This window comes from Homo sapiens, chromosome 4 (assembly GCF_000001405.40).
Source record: "Homo sapiens chromosome 4, GRCh38.p14 Primary Assembly".
In the NCBI taxonomy this organism is placed as follows: Eukaryota; Metazoa; Chordata; class Mammalia; order Primates; family Hominidae; genus Homo; species Homo sapiens.
The window spans coordinates 79687752-79705451 of NC_000004.12; the positions used below are offsets into that span (position 1 = coordinate 79687752).

At 36.9% G+C, this 17700-nt stretch overlaps 2 long non-coding RNA genes across 5 annotated transcripts in view; one reads left to right on the forward strand and one right to left on the reverse strand.

The window, feature by feature from the left end:
• The window catches only part of LINC02469 (long intergenic non-protein coding RNA 2469), a 32748-nt gene extending 24045 nt beyond the window's left edge, over positions 1–8703 (forward strand). The window contains exon 3 of one of the 2 annotated variants that reach the window (XR_007058159.1): positions 8662–8703. This is a non-coding gene — a long non-coding RNA (long intergenic non-protein coding RNA 2469). Of the gene's footprint in view, positions 1–2236; positions 2277–8661 lie in introns of those variants that run through there. The other variant, XR_007058158.1, reaches the window with a different exon arrangement.
• A 457-nt stretch (positions 8704–9160) lies between these two features.
• LOC105377302 (uncharacterized) overlaps positions 9161–17700 on the reverse strand; it is a 47430-nt gene continuing 38890 nt past the window's right edge. For 2 of the 3 annotated variants that reach the window (XR_938924.3, XR_938926.3), the window contains one exon: positions 13426–15240. This is a non-coding gene — a long non-coding RNA (uncharacterized LOC105377302). Of the gene's footprint in view, positions 10084–13425; positions 15241–17700 lie in introns of those variants that run through there. The other variant, XR_938927.3, reaches the window with a different exon arrangement.

The window sequence follows — 17700 nt, forward strand, 5'->3', positions numbered from 1 at the left end:
ATGAAATGGTTATTTCAGAGCACTGCTATTATACTCACTGGCATTTTAAATAACTCCCAATATTTAACAGTATATAGTCTCTTGTTGGAACAGCTTATAGATGTTAACACTTTGGCTTCCAGATTCTACTGTTCTGGGAAGTCAACTGACAATATTCAAAGGCCATTACTTTTGTTTCTCTCTTTAAAAAATGCCTTTCCATTTTCGTTGGTAACTGGTAGCTATAGCATATACTTGTCTTAAATCCTCATGAAATAGCCTATTAATGTTGCAGTCTTGAGGATTCTAATTGTTCCATTAATCATATTCCCAAGGATAAAATAAATAACTCAATTATATTTCATTTCTCTAGTGTGTAAATGAGACATACAGGATCATACCTCCCAGAACTTATATAAACCAGTATGGGAAATATTTTAAAGGGAATAGAGTGTATAGTAACAGGAAATTAGTAGTTAACTTCAGTAGCTAAATTACGACCAAAGGTAATGATTAATGCAAATATACTCTACTTTATTTTGTATTATCCCATTTAATTGGAAATCAGTATATTTCCATATATGGCGATTGTAATATAAGTATAGCATTTATAACTTATAGTCATATTTGAACAGTTTGCCCACTTCCAAAAAGAAAACACTGATAAAATTGTCAAAAACATTTTCTTAAGTATGTCAAGGCAAAGATAATGCTTGTTTAAAATTAAAATATTGAGCTTTATTGTTAGTTAACCCTAAAATGATTTCATGATAGAATCCTTCATTTGCGATTAATGAGAAAGAAAATCGTAGCCACAGAATCCACTGTAATAAAATTAGCTGGTAGAGATGAAGATGGACGTTCTATCAAACCAGTGAGTGATTGATAGTTGGTAAAATTCATAGAAAGTAAACAAACAAACCATTCAAAAGCATTCAAGATCAGATTCTAAAGAAAATAAGTTAGCTAGACACTTCTACTTAGCAATGCTCCAGCTCTCAAGTATATGTGCAGTTTAAATGGGAAATGACTTTGCTAATTAGGCATCTTTGTATTTTCTGCCCATGAAGTCTTTGACTTATGTCAGTTCTCAGGCAGATGTAGCAAGGGAGGTACTCAGTTTCCAGCCATCACCACAGATCCATGACACACCTTCTTGTTTTACAGGCTGGGACATTTCCCATGGAGAGTGGCCACCTGTGCTGGGACTCAGGGCAGTTTTATGACCTCAATACAGAGAAAGTAACACAATTTTTACAACCTTAGTTGTTCTATGACCTGATGAAAGTGAATTCAGTGCACCAGGCTGACATTCTCTTACAGTAGCTAATAACATGATTATAATATACTCTGAAATGCAAAAGAACATTTTATCCGATAGCACAAAAATAGTTGATAATATGTGAGTATTCCTGACACCTTAAAATTTAATTTTTTAGTGATTTAGAATATATTTAGTATTTTTTCTTATTAATCTAGAAACCATTATGTTATGAAAATCTACACTCCTTTGCTTTCCATTTGAAATGATATTTCTTTTTCTTCCTGCCTATTCATATAAAATCAAACCACTTTTAAACTCAGATTATAGCATTTCTCTATCAGGCTTTTCCTCCTAACTTCATGTGAGTTGCTCTTCCTCCTTTAAACTTCTAATGTGATATTTCTCAAAGTATTTTCTATGGATGGTCTGCATCAGAATCACCAACATTAAAATCAATTAAATTTAATTGAATTTAAATTAACTTAAAAAACAACAACAAAAATTACTCAGACCACCCTCTAGAACTTCTGAGTCAAAATTTAATGCCCATTACCCATGTGCTTTATTTTGAGCCTATGCTTTAATTATATAATATTTGGAGAAATTTCTTACATTGTGGTTATTTCTAGCCCTGTTAAGAGTCTGCTCTATTATAGGAACTTATTTTTTGTGTTATATTTTCTACTAGGCTATAAACTCATGAGAGTAAGGACACTGTCTTTTCTTTTTCTTTTCCTTTTCTTTTTTAATATTTTACTTTGTTTTGTCTGGCAGACCATTTTTTTAAAATTTCAACAGATTTTGGGGAATAGGTGGTGTTTGTTTGCATGGAAAAGATCTTTCGTGGTGATATCTGAGATTTTGGTGCACCCGTCACCCAAGCAGTGTACACTATACCCAAGGATTAGTCTTTAATCACTCAGCTGCCTCCCACTCTTCCTGCCAAGTTGCCAAAGTCCATTATATCATTTTTATGCCTATGTGTCCTTACAGCTTAACTCCCACTTATAAGTGAAAATACGTAATGGTCTCCAACTCCATCCAGGTGTCTGTGAATGCCATTATTTCATTCCTTTATATAGGTGAGTAGTATTCTACCACATTTTCTTTATTCACATGTTGGTTGATGGGCATTTAGACTGGTTCCATGTTTTTGCAATTGCAAATTGCGCTGCTATAAATGTGTGTGCAAATGTCTTTTTCATATAATGACTTTGTTAGTGGAATTGATGAATCAAATGGTAGTTCTTCTTTTAGTTACTTATGGAATCTCCATACTGCTTTTCTATAGTGGTTGTATTAGTCTACATTCCTACCAGCAGTGTAAAAGTGTTCCTTTTTTACCACATCCACACCATCTGTTATTTTTTGAATTTTTAGCTGTGGTCATTCTTGCAAGAGTAAGGTAGTATCTCATTGTGGTTTTGACTTGCATATCCCTGATAATTGGTGATGTTGAGCATTTTTTCATATGTTTGTTGGCCATTTGTATGTCTCCTTTTGAGAATTGTCTATTCATGTCCTTTCCTACATTCTTGTGGGATTGTTTATTTTGTTTGTTCTTGCTGATTTGTTTGAGTTCCTTGTGCATTCTGTGTATTAGTCCTTTGTCGGTTGCATAGTTGGTGAATATTTTCTTCCACTCTGTGGCTTGTCTGTTGACTCTGCTAATTATTTCTTTCGCTCTGCAGAAACTTTTCAGTTTAATTAAGTTCCATCAATTTATCTTTGTTTTTGTTGCATTTGCTTTTGGGTTCTTAGTTATGAACACTTTGCCTAAGCCAATGGCTGGAAGAGTTTTTTTGATGTTATGGTTTCAGATGTTAGATTTAAGTCTTTGATCCACCTTAAGTTGATTTTTGTATAAGGTGAGAGATGAGGATCTGGTTTCTTTCTTCTACATGTGGCTTGCCAATTATCCGAGCACCATTTGTTGAATAGGATGTCTATTCCCCACCTTTAGGTTTTTGTTTGCTTTGTCAAAGGTTAGTTGGCTGTAAATATTTGGCTTTATTTCTGGGTTCTATATTCTGTTCCATTGGTCTACATATCTATTTTTATACCAGTACCAGGCTGTTTTGGTAACTACAGCCTTGTAGTACAGTTTAATGTTGGGTAATGTGATGCCTCCCAATTTTTTCTTTTTGCTCATTCGTATACCAGTACCATGCTGTTTTCATAACTATACACTTGTAGTATAGTCTGAATTTGGGTAATGTGATGCCTTTATATATGTGTGTGCGTATATGTGTGTGTATATATATATATATACACACACATATACGCACACACACATTATTATATATACGCACACACACATTATTTTTTTGCTTTGTCTTGCTTAGGCTTACTATATATATGCTTATTATATATAGGCTTATTATATATAGGCTTATTATATATATAGGCTTATTATATATATGCACACACACATTATTTTTTTGGTTTGTCTTGCTTAGGCTATGCGGGCTCCTTCTGGTTTCATATAAATTTTAAGATTGCTTTTCCAAGGTCTGTGAAGAATTATGGTGGTATTTTGATAGAAATTGCATTGAATTTGTAGATTGCTTTTGGCAGTATGGTCGTTTTAATATATTGATTATGCCCATCCATGAACATGTATTTCCATTTGTTTGTGTCATTTATGATTTCTTTCAGCAGTGTTTTGTAGTTTTCCTTGTAGAGATCTTTCACCTCCTTGGTTAGGTATATTCTGAAGTATTTTATTTTAGTTTTTTTGGAACTGTTGTAAAAGGGATTGGATTCTTGATATGATTCTCAGCTTGGTGGTTGTTGGTGTATAGCAGTGCTACTGATTTGTGTACATTGATTTTGTATCCTGAAACTGTACTGAATTTATTTATCAGATCTAGGAGCTTTTTGGATGAGTCTCTAGGGTTTTCTTAGTATAAGATTATACAATTGGTGAACAGCAAAAATTTGACTCCCTCTTTACTGATTTGAATGCCCCTTATTTCTTTCTCTTGTGTGATTGCTCTTGCTAGGACTTCCAAAAAACGTTGAATAGCAGTGAAAGTGTTCATCCTCACCTTGTTGTGGGTCTTGGGGGAATACTTTCAACTTTTCCCCATTCTGTAGAATGTTGGCTGCAGGTTTGTGATAGATGGCTTTTATTACCTTAAGGTATGTTCCTTCTAAGCTGATTTTTGCTAAGGGTTTTAATCATAAAGTGATGCTGGATTTTGTTAAATGCTTTTTCTGCATCTATTGAGATGATCATATAATTTTTGTTTTTAAATCTGTTCATGTGATGTATCACATTTATTGACTTGTGTATGCTAAATTATCCCTGCATCCTTCATATGAAACCCACTTGATCATGGTGTATTATCTTTTTGATATGCTGTTGGGTTTGGCTGGCTGATATTTTGTTGAGGATATTTCATCTATGTTCATCAGGAATATTGTTCTGTAGTGTACTTTTTTTGTTACGTCCTTTCCTGGTTTTGGTATTAGGGTGATACTGGCTTCATAAAATGATTTAGGGAGGATTCCCTTTTCCTTTTCTTTTTGGAATAGTTTCAGTAAGATTAGTAACAACTCTTTTTTTGAAGACCTCTTTTTTGGATCTTTCTTGATTATTCCCTCAGCTGGAAATCTGTCTGGTCCTGGACCTTTTTTTGTTGGCAATTTTTAAATTAACATTTCAATATTGTTACATGTTATTGGTCTGTTCAGAGATTCTATATTTTCCTGGTTTAACCTAGCATGATTGTATATTTCCAGTAATTTATCCTTCTCCTTTAAGTTCTCTAATTTGTGCACATAAAGGTCTCAATAGTAACGTTGAATGATCTTTTTTATTTCTGTGATATTGATTGTTATAGCTCCTATTTCATTTCTAATTGAGCTTATTTGGATCTTCTCTCTTCTTGGTTAATCTTTCTAATGGTTTTTCAGTTTTGTTTATTTTTTCAAAGAACCAGCTATTTGTTTCATTTATCCTTTGTATTTTTATTTGTTTATTTCAATTTCATTTAGTTTTGCTCTGATCTTTATTGTTTCTTTTCTTCTACTGGGTTTGAGTTTGGTTTATTTCTGTTTCTCTACTTTCTTGAGATGTGACCTTAGATTGTCTGTGTGTGCTCTTTCAGACTTTTTGATGTAGGCATTTAATGCTATTAACTTTCCTCTTAGCAGTGCTTTTGCCGTATCCTTGAGGTTTTGATAAGTTGTGTCATTATTATTATTCAGTTCAAAGAATTTTTAGTTTACATCTTGATTTCATTGTTTACCCAAAGATTATTCAGGAGCAGATTATTTAATTTCCATGTATTAGTATAGTTTTGAGTGTTCCTTTGGAGTTAATTTCCAATTTTATTCCACTGTTGTTTGAGAGAATACTTAATATAAGTTTGATTTTCTTAAATTTATTGAGATGAGTTTTGTGGCCCATCATATATGATCGATTTTGGGGAATGTTCCATATGTTAATGAACAGAATCAACTATATTCTGCAGCTGTTGGGCAGAATGTTCTATAAATATCTGTTAAGTCCATTTGTTGTAGGGTATAGTTTAAGTCCATTGTTTCTTTGTTGATTTTTTTGTCTTGATGAGCTATCTAGTGCTGTTAGTGGAGTATTAAAGTTCCCTACTATTATTGTGTTGCCATTTATCTCATTTCTTATGTCAAATAATACCTGTTTTATAAATTTATCCAGTGTTAGATGCATGTATATTTAGGACTGTGATATTTTCCTGTTGGAATGATCCTTTAATCTTTATATAATATCTCTTTGTCTTTTTTAAACTGTTGTTCTTTCAAGTCTGTTTTGTCTGATATTAGAATAGCCATTCCTGCTCAATTTTGATTTCCATTTGCATGGAATATCTTTTTCCAACCCTTTACCTTAAGTTTATGTGAGTCTTTATGTGTTAGGTGAGTCTCTTGAAAACAGCAGATACTTGGTTGGTAGGTTTTTATCCGTTCTGCCATTCTGTGTCTTTTAAGTGGAACATTTAGGCTATTTACATTCAATGTAAGTGTTGAGATGTGAGATACTGTTTTATTCATTTTGCTAGTTGTTGCCTGAATACCTTTTCTTTTTCATTGTATTATTGTTTTATAGGCCCTGAGATTTATGGTTTAAGGAAGTTCTATTTTGTTGTATTTTGAGGTTTTGTTTCAAGATTTCGCACTTCTATTGGTATTTCTTGTAGTTCTGAGTTTGGAGTGGTAGTTTCTCTCAGCACTTGTTTATCTGAAAAAGACTTTCTCTCTTCTTCATTTATAAACCTTAGTTCTGCTGCATACAAAATTCTTGGTTGGCAATTATTTTGTTTATGGAAGCTAAAGATAAGTCCCCAATCCCTCTAGCTTGTAGGGTTTCTGCTGAGAAATCTGCTGTTAATCTGATAGGTTTTCCTCTATATGTTGACTTATGCTTTTGTCTCACAGCTCTTAAGATTCTTTCCTTCATCTTGACTTCAGATAACCTGATGACTATGTAACTATGTGATGATCTTTTTGTGATGAATTTCCCTGGTGTTCTTTGAGCTTCTTGTATTTGGATGTGTAGACCTCTAGCAACACCAGAGTAGTTTTTCTTGATTATTCCCTCAAAGATGTTTTCCAAACTTTTAGATTTCTCTATTTCCTCAGGAACACCAATTATTCTTAGTTTAGTTATTTAACATAATCCCAAATTTCTTGGAGGCTTTACTTTTTAAAATTCTTGTTTCTTTGTCTTTGTTGGATTGGGTTAATTCAAAAGCCTTGTCTTCAAGTGCTGAGGTTCTTTTTTCTACTTTTTCTAGTCTATTGGAGACAATTTCCAGTGCATTTTGTATTTCTATAAATGTGTCTTTTATTTCCAGAAGTTGTAATTGTTTTTCTTTATGATATCCATTTCTCTGGGGAAGTTTTCATCCATATCCTGTATTGTGTTTTTAATTCGTTTACGTTGGTTTTCACCTTCCTCTGTTATCTCCTTGAGTAGCTTAATAATCAACCTTCTGAATTCATTATCTGGCAATTCAGAGATTTATTTTTGGTATGGATACATTGTTGAGGAGCTAGTGTGGGCTTTTGGGGGTGTTATAGAACCTTGTTTTGTCATATTACCAAAATTACTTTCCTGATTGCTTCTAATTTGGGTAGACTATTTCAGAGGAAAAATCTGGAACTCAAAGGCTGCTGTTCAGATTTTTTTTATCCCACAGTGTGATCGCTTGATGTGATGCTCTTCCTTTCTCCTAGAAATGGGGTTTCCTGAGAGCTGGACTCCAGTGATTGCTATTATTCTTTTGGGTCTAGCCACCCAGTGGGTGGAACTACCAGTCTCCAGATTGGTGCTGGGGAATGCCTGTAATGATTTCTGTGATGTGATCCACTTCAGGTTTCCCAGCTGTGCATACCAGCACCTGCTCTGGTGGAGGTGGCAGGGGAGTGAAGTAGACTTCATGAGAGTCCTTGGTTGTAGATATGTTTACTGTGCTGGCTTTCTTGAATGCTGGTTATGATAGCAGTGAGGTTGTCACGTGGACAGTCTCAGGACCTCTTGTTAGCCAGGATGTTGCAGGCAGTGGAATTCACTGTTGTTTTCTCCTTCCTTGAAGCAGGGTTATTCTGTCATGAGTTGCTATAATGTCCTGGGTTGATTGGCCTCCAGCAGGAGGTGATGCTTTCAAGAGAGAATCAGTTGTGATAGTAGAAAGGGGATAAAAGCTTACCAATAATTTACATCTTTGTGATGGGCTACCAGGGCAGGGAGAGAAATACCATCAGGTAGGGGCAGATTTAGGTAGATCTAAGCTCAGAATCTCCTTGGGTGGGGTTTGCCATGGCTACTATGGGGGATGGCAGGGTGGTTCTCAAGCTAATGGGGTTGGTAGCTAGGGAAGTGGGGGAAAGCAGTTAGCAATAGGCCTCATCTAGCTCCCACACAGTTGGTGAGGCCAGTCTCATTCCCAAAGTGTCCTGATAACAGTTGCACATGGCAACAAAATGTTGCCATGTTTATCTCCAGGCAGCTTGTCGATGGGACTCAGACCTTGCCCCAGGCTAAAAGCTTCCCTGCTGAGAAAGCAAACACTGTGTTCAGGCCACCCCCCTCCGCACTACTGCCCACACTGTGGGCTGCAGCTCCCTGCACTCCTTCTGCGCAGTTTCCATTCAATACCCAATTCTGCTCAAAAGAGTTTGCATCAGTTGAAATCATTACAATGTTCAACTGGAAGCTTCTTTCACCTTGTAACCTCTCCCAGATTCTTCTGGCTACCTTCCCCAAGGGCCCCTGTGAGATATAGTCAGGGATGGCTTCTCTGAGTTTGAGCTGGAGAATGGGAGTACCTACAAGGCTCTTCTTGCTACTGCTTCTACTTTTGTAGTTCATGCTAAATCTGTTTCAGCTCTAGGTAAGGTTAAATCCTTATCCTGTAATCTGGATTTTTCAGGTTCCCCAGTGAGGATTGTCAGGCCTCTGAGCCCAAGCTAAGCCATCATATCCCCTGTGACCTGCACGTATACATCCAGATGGCCTGAAGCAACTGAAGATCCACAGAAGAAGTGAAAATAGCCAGTTCCTGCCTTAACTGATGACATTCCACCATTGTAATTTGTTCCTGCCCCACCCTAACTGATCAATTGACTTTGTGACAATACACCCTCCCTACCCTTGCGGTAATGTAATTTGTGATATTCCCTCACCCTTGTGAAGGTACTTTGTACTATACACCCTCCCCACCCTTGAGAAGGTACTTTGTAATATTCTCCCCTGCCCTTAGGAATGTACTTTGTAAGATCCACCCCCTGCCCACAAAAAATTGCTCCTAACTCCACCGCCTATCCCAAACCTGTAAGAACTAATGATAATCCCACCACCCTTTGCTGACTCTCTTTTCGGACTCAGCCCACCTTCACCCAGGTGATAAAAAAGCTTTATTGCTCACACAAAGCCTGTTTGGTGGTCTCTTCACATGGATGTGCATGACAAGGATGTGTGTTTGGAGGCAGGTTTTCCCCTTTCGCCCTTGGTAACTCACAGTTTCTCTCCTGTCTTATGGAATTTGCAGAGGCATGCTGCTTATTTCAAATAATCTGTGAATTATTTCAGTTTTCTTGGTACATTCCTGCAGTGGTTCTTGGAGAAAATCCGCTGTATGAGTCTCCACACACTGTTCTATCTGTCCAAGTGGGAGCTGCACAATTGTCCTGTCTGCTATCTGCCATCTGCCTCCTAAATCCCCCTGTCTTTTCTTCAGCCTCTCATCTTCACCCCTGCATACACACATATACAGGCACACAAAGTTGTCACAGAGCCTTTCAAGAATATTTTGAATACTTATCTGAGTATATAAAGTAGAGATCTGAAGCTCTAAAAATGAAAGTTTTTAAAAATAAAATTTGGCTTAGGATGTGGAATCTGTCCTCATATCATTAACAAAAATATGCTTTGGATACCACTTTGACAGTCCTCCAACACCTATATCAGTCAACAGGCCAACACAAAACAGATGGCACACTCCAAATAAGGCACCTGGAGGAGGGTGCATCTACAACGGACCTAGTTACAGAGGTGTTAAGTACAGGGGAATCGCGAGAGGTAGTGTTGCAATCTAAGACTCAGTAAAGAGAAGAGAGAAGAGATTAGTTAACAGAGAATTTAGAACAGTGACCTGGACAAAGGTCAGCTTATCTTGCAAGGAGAGAGTTAGGCAAATAATGCCCTGACCTCATTCTGCAACTCCCCGCTAAACTTCTGGGGCTTCCCATTGGTTGGACATAGGGGATGTTAGAACACATGAGAACCTCTCAAAATCCATACAGGCCAGGCTCTCAGAGAAGACAGGAGAGTGAAAAACTGGCAGAAAGTGGACCTAAAGGAGAAAGTGAAAGATGCTCAGAACAATATTCTTATTCAGAGGTTATACAAAGATTGTTTTAATTAAATATACAATATATGCTGGAAAAATTAGAATTATGAACAATAAACTTTCTATCAGTCAACTGTAATTCATCATTTTACTGTCTAGATGGACAAAAAGTCAAGTTAGAGAGGTGTGTGTGTGTGTGCGTGTGTGTGTGTATGTGAACATATATTTGACTGTGTTAACGAGGCACTGACCAAAAATTTTTTAAATCATTCGATCATACAAACAGAATTTTGGCACTGGGACTGAAACTATTTTGTCAACAGTACTTTTTCTTTACTTTGTCTTGGTTTGGTTTTCATTGGCTTGTTTTGTTATGGAGTGGACTATTAGTACTGAGAGCAGAGCCTTTGCTTTATCCACTAAGATATGGGAGACCCCAGAAGTGAGAAGAATTACTAAGAGAAAGATAAGGAATCTTCAAAAATTTTATAGAACGACCAGAATTTTTGTAGGTATAGTTGTGAGAGAAGAATGTTATAGTACACATCAGGGGGCTTGGGATTATTCTAGAAATTTTGCTAAGTGTTTTTTGCCTAAAAATTAGCAAATGAACCCCACCCTCATGAATTCTCACAGCTCAGGGAGGAGACAGACATATGTATACATCAGATACATTCAATAAGTTTACACACGCCCTTTTCATTCACCAGGGCATAAGAGATTCAACATTGAAGAAAAATAGGGTGTTTGTGCTCTCATTGATTTTATATTCTAATAAAAGGAAAATACAATAAAACATATAGTAACATGAAAAATATTAGATGGTGATAATTGCTGTGCAGAAAACTAAAATGGAAAATTATATAATTTGATAAACGTGATTATCTGCTTTATTGAATAAACAGGGAAGGCCTCTCAGGTGGTAATGGGTTGAGATCTGAGTGACAGAAGAGTGTTTGCCATAAGAAGATTAGTGAGAAGATTCTGGTGAGAAACAATATTACCTACCAAGGCCTCAAGGTGAGAGAAGCAGGATTTGCCTACACAACTGAAAGAAGGCCAGTAATTCTGGCATTCAGTAAAAAGATGCCAAATAATATAGGTATTGTTAAGCCAAGGTAAGAAGTTTGAATTTTGTTCCAAATATATAGGAAGCCATTGGCTAAGGAGTGGCATGATTTTATTTCTATTTTAATTGATCACCAAGGCTGCTCTATGGAGCACAGACTAGTGGGATGAGAGTGAAGGCCGGAAGCTATGATACCAGTTCAGGAGGGAGGCAATGGGGGCTTAGACTGAAGAAAGTAGTCAATTTAGCAATCTTTTAAACATATAGGCAATATAGTAATTGACTTTGAATCGATAGATTCAAAGCCTACTTTATAGATAAATTGACAGGGCTTTTAATTGAGAGACTGGATGTGAGGTTGATAAAATGAAAAAGAATACCTGATATAATGTTGGCCAATAGGCATGTAAATGTACTATTTCTGCACAGTGCTATAATTGCTGCAAAGCTAATGTATGCAGAGTTCAGTGGACATGTAGAAAAAGATGAGTCTAAGATTTTCTGAGAGAATCCAAGAATGCTGTACGATGGATTTGAAGGATGAACATATCTGAGTACCGAGTAGAGGTAAAGAGTGCAATGCTGGACTTGCATGTCGTTGTCACCAGTGGAAGGAACTTCTGCCCTGTACTCCCTACTCATATTTCTCATTCCCCTATATTTCTGATATTAATTAATGATATCACCACATGTTTAACCTTCAAAGTTACATCTTTGAATTCTCTACCACTGCCCCATCCACACATACTCACACACAAAAGCCTAGAGCAAATATAATCAGTAATGGGGAAAGCATTAGAAGCATTCTCTTCAAAATAAGGGAATAAGAATGGCTATGATCACCAGCTGTACTTGATAATTCTTCTGTACTTTTAATTAATACACTAAGACAAGAAAAATAAATGTAAGATTTAATGATTGGTTAGGAAGACATTACGTTTTATTCTCAGATGATAGTACACTAAAAATCTGAAGAATCTCTACACAAATTTTTAGAAGTAAGATGTTATTAAGGTAAATAGCATATATAGTAGCAACAAATAGAAAATTTAATGAGATACTTTTATATTTACTATAACAATAAAATACTTAAGAGTCATAAAGGAAAAATATCTTAAAAATGCATGAAATTTGTATCCAGAATATTATAAAACTTTTGTGGAGGACATTAAAATATTTTTTAAAATTAAGAGATAACCCAAATTGTTTTTCAAAACTCAAGATTACAAAGATGCTGCTTTGTATTAAATAAATGCATAGATTCAATATAATTAAAATGAAAATTTCAAAGAGTTTTTCATGAAATTTGACAAGCTAAAAGGAGAACAAATATTCCCCATCATTACTCTAATAGTAAATACACCTGTGGCTAATAATATATTTCTCCATAGTAACTGCATTTTCACTGTTACATTAAACACTATTATCCATGTAATTGGTAAGAACATAGAGTAAAAAACAACAACTTAAATATTCATATTGTCACTTCTTGCAGAAATTTCTCTAATCCCTAAAATCCCAGTGAGTATAATTTCTGGCACTCCCACAACATTCTTAATTTCTTCATACACATTCCCTTCTCCTTTGCTTGACACAGTTTTTGCCTATTTGTCCATGTCCCTGACTTTACCAATGATAACATCTTGCAACACTACAGTATGACATCACAGCCAGTATATTGACATTGCTAAGATCCAGAATATTTTCATCACTATGAGGATGCCTCATTTTTACCTTCCCTGACCACACCCACTTTTTCCCACTCTACTCTTTTTAAATCCTGGAAACCACTCATCTTTATCCATTTTAATACTTTTATCATTTCAAAAATGTTATATAAATGGAGTCACATAATATACAACATTTTGAGATTGATTTTTTTCATTCAGCATAATTCTCTAGAGATTCACTCATGTTGTTGCACATATTCATAATTTGATTGTTCTTTTCTTTTCTTTTTTCCTGTTTTTCTTTTCTTTTCTTTTCTTTTCGAGACAGAATCTTACTCTGTCACCCAGGCTGGAGTGCAGTGGCACCATCACGACTAAGTGTAGCCTCGACCTCCCAGGCCCAAGCGATCCTCCTACCTCAGCCTCCTGAGTAACTGGGACCACAGGCACATGCCATCACACCTGGCTAGGGGATTTTGTTGCTGTTGTTTTAAATTTTATTTTGTAGAGACAGAATCTTCCTATGTTTCCCAAGCTGGTCTCGAACTCCTGAGCTCAAGCTACCTCCTGCCTCAGCCTCCCAAAGTGCTGATATTACAGGCATGAGCAGCCATGCCTGGCCTGTTTTTTTTTTTATTGCTAAATAATATTCTAGAGCATGAATGTACCACAGTTTGTTGAACTATTCATCTGTTGAGCAAAATCTGAGCTGTTTCCATTATTCACCTATTGCAAGTCACTATAAACATTTGGTTTTGTGTAAACATAAGACCTCATTTCTCTGAGATAAATGCCTAGAAGTACACCTGCTAGAGCGTGTATTATGTGTATATTTACTTACTTCTGGCCTCCACGATGTTTGATAAAAAACCCACCATTATTCCAATTGTTTTTGCCCTAAAGGTAAGGTGGCATTTCTTTCTCATAGCCTTCAAGATTTTTTCTTTCTCCTTAATTTTCAGAATTTTAATTATTATGTGTTTTGGTGTGTGTTTCTTTGGGTTTATCCTATTTGTGATCCATTTAGTCTCTTGAACCTGTAGCTATGTGTCACACCAATTTGGGAAGTTTTCAGCCATTGTTTCTTCACATACTTTTCCCACATTCATGATTCTGATAGCATGAATGTTAGATCTTTTGTTATAGTTCCAAAGTCTCTAGGGTTCTGTTCGTTTTTTCAGTCTATTTTCTGTTATTCACATTGAGTAGCTCCTATTTATCTAACTTCCGGGTCACTGATTCTTTCTTCTGTCCACATCATTCTTCTGTTGGATATTGCATTTTTAAGTTTTAAAATGTTCATTTGATTTCCTTTATTTCTTCTATTTATTTTCTGAGACTTGACATTTCTTTGCTATATTTTTATTTGTTTCTGGCATGTTTATAATTGTTCACTGGGTCATTTTTTAAAAGTCACGGGTGCTTTAAAATCTTTGACAATTCTAACATCTCTGTTATCTCAGTGTTGTCATCTATTTATTTATTATTTTTTCAATTGGAGATCTTTCTGGTTCTTTATTTTTTTATTGAAATCTGGACATTTCTATGTGATGTTATGATGACAGTCTAGATCTTATTTAAAACATTCTTTTAAACCTGGTTTTCCCTCACATCATTCTGGCAGAGAAAAGGGTTTTGGGCACACTGTAGTATTACTACTAGGTGGGCGTAGATATTCAGCTTCCTAACTTGGCCTCCACTGGCACCTGAGTTGGGGAGTTCCTCCTTACTCCTGGATAAGATGGGTGTTCTGGATTCCCAGGTAGCCTCTCCATTTGAGAGTTAATGCCCAAAGCCATCACTCTCCACTAGATCTCCTCTGACACCACTCTAGCGGGGAGAGGGAGGAGTACCTCATTACTGCCAGGTGGAGATGGAAGACTAGACTCCCTATATGTTCTTCACTGACATTTTTACCATGTGAGGGAGATTTGGGAGAGTCACTCATTACCAGATGGTGCGGATAGAAGTTCTAGCTTCCTACATTGTCTAATCTTACACTACCCTGGCAAGGCTGTTGGATGCCACATTACAGCCTAAAGAGTGTAGAAGTCTAGGCACCGACTAGGCCCTTGCTGGTATGGCTAGGAGTAGGGTCACTCTGCTTTTTCATCTGTTTCTTTTATGGCGTTTCACTGGAGTAGAAAAATTATTGTCTGAATGTTTTCTGTATTACTAGGCTTTCCTTTTTTTTTTGGTCCTTCAACTAGAGGGAGCAGGCTTTTTGAAAGTCTATTTTTGCCCGTTCATTTCTGGGTTGCTGGCTTTTTCAGCTTCAAGCTTGTGATGTTTGAATGAAAAAATAATTCTGGGAACCCACCACCACGTCTTTCTTCAGGTCCTGAGGCAAGTCTTCTTTCTTCTCTCTACCTTTCAGAGTCTTCTGATATCCTTTTTACATATACTGTTCAGTGTCTTTACCTGTAGAGGAAGAATATAGAAAATTGAGTCTAGTGTATATTTCTATAAATGGAAGTCCCCCATACTTATTTTTTACATTTTTATTTTCTAGCAAAAGAAAAATCATAAATAAAGCTTTTGTGAGAAAATTTAACCAATTTTAATTATTATTAGTATATCTTTTGTGCTGGACTTAAAGATGTCTGATACCTCTATGCAGCTCTTAAAGACCCAAAGTCACACTAATTTTGTGTCAAAGTAGCTTTAGTTTGCCATTCAGGATAGTTAAAAACATCAATTTTGGAGTCAGAAAACCTAAATTTGAGTCCTGGATTTTCTGCCTGCTAGCTTTATGAATTTGGCCAAATGATTTGACCTCTCCAAGCCACATTTTCTGAGTGAAAAATTAAGAAAATAATAGAACTCACTCCGTAAGTCTGTTATAATAACTAAATGAGAAAATATGCAGCACAAGAGCTACCATATTAAATGCTTGCTATGAGACAGACACTGTGCTATATATGTGTTTCTACGTGCATAAAAGTCCTGAAATTATAGTTCTTAACATTCTATATTTTAGTAGCTTTCTACTTTGTGCTAGACAAACTTGCCTTTTTTGTAAAATGAGAGGATTGAACTAAATAATAAACACAGGGACTTTATCTTGTGTTGCTGTTTCTCCAGCATCTGGAACAGCATCTGGTTCTTAACCGGTACTCAATAAATTGGATTGAATTAATGAATTGACATATTTGCATAAGATATTGTGGTTTATAATATAATCTTCCTATATTATCATAACTAATTTTAGCATACACACTACATGCTTTGTTGTAATCCATATATTTCCTTCCAAGGTAAGATGTATTAATTGAAGATAATTTTCATACAATTATGCTGATTTTTACTGCATTGTTTATTTAGTGACTATACCTATAGAATGTATATAGTACATAATGTATAAATATATGACAGATTTGATATAGCTCCTAATAGAGACTAATCAAAGATGAACATACAAATTATCTTTCTCAAAAGACTAAACTACTAAAGGTTTTAAGCAGAAGAAACATGTGATTTGAATTACACTTTTATAATTTAAAAAATCGCTTGGATGGAGTATTGAGAACAGACCATGAAGGGATAAGAGCAGAAATAAGGAAACCAAAAATAATACAGAATAGAGCTAATGATGTCTTGAACCAGGAAGGTAGCAGTGGATATTGTTTCTGAAAGTAGGACTTTTGAAAGTAGGATGACAACAGGATTTTCTGACAAATTGGACATGTGATGCTAGAGAAAGACAGGAGTTGAAGGGAATGCCAATGGTATTTATCTGAGCAAACAAAGGATGGAAATGAGGAAGACAGCAGGTGGATTAGATAATGCACAAAGTTATGGTGATGTTGACAAGTGGAGTTTCAATGATGTGGAGGGGCAACAGCTCAGTTGGAGTAGGATTAGGAGAGCCTCAAAAAAGAATTCTAAAATACAAGTATGGGAAACTTTTAGTGCGACTTATTTATGACTACCTTAGAAGGAAAAACAATGATAATCTGATAAGATCTGACCAAAAATCGGTGGAGGAGCCAAGATGGCCGAATAGGAACAGCTCCGGTCTACAGCTCCCAGCGTGAGCGACGCAGAAGACGGGTGATTTCTGCATTTCCATCTGAGATACCGGGTTCATCTCACTAGGGAGTGCCAGACAGTGGGCGCAGGCCAGTGTGTGCGCGCACCGTGCGCGAGCCGAAGCAGGGCGAGGCATTGCCTCACCTGGGAAGCGCAAGGGGTCAGGGAGTTCCCTTTCCGAGTCAAAGAAAGGGGTGACGGACGCACCTGGAAAATCGGGTCACTCCCACCCTAATATTGCGCTTTTCAGACCGGCCTAAGAAACGGCGCACCACGAGACTATATCCCACACCTGGCTCAGAGGGTCCTATGCCCACGGAATCTCGCTGATTGCTAGCACAGCAGTCTGAGATCAAACTGCAAGGCGGCAACGAGGCTGGGGGAGGGGCGCCCGCCATTGCCCAGGCTTGCTTAGGTAAACAAAGCAGCCGGGAAGCTCGAACTGGGTGGAGCCCACCACAGCTCAAGGAGGCCTGCCTGCCTCTGTAGGCTCCACCTCTGGGGGCAGGGCACAGACAAACAAAAAGACAGCAGTAACCTCTGCAGACTTAAGTGTCCCTGTCTGACAGCTTTGAAGAGAGCAGTGGTTCTCCCAGCACGCAGCTGGAGATCTGAGAACGGGCAGACTGCCTCCTCAAGTGGGTCCCTGACCCCTGACCCCCGAGCAGCCTAACTGGGAGGCACCCCCCAGCAGGGGCACACTGACACCTCACACGGCAGGGTATTCCAACAGACCTGCAGCTGAGGGTCCTGTCTGTTAGAAGGAAAACTAACAACCAGAAAGGACATCTACACCGAAAACCCATCTGTACATCACCATCATCAAAGACCAAAAGTAGATAAAACCAC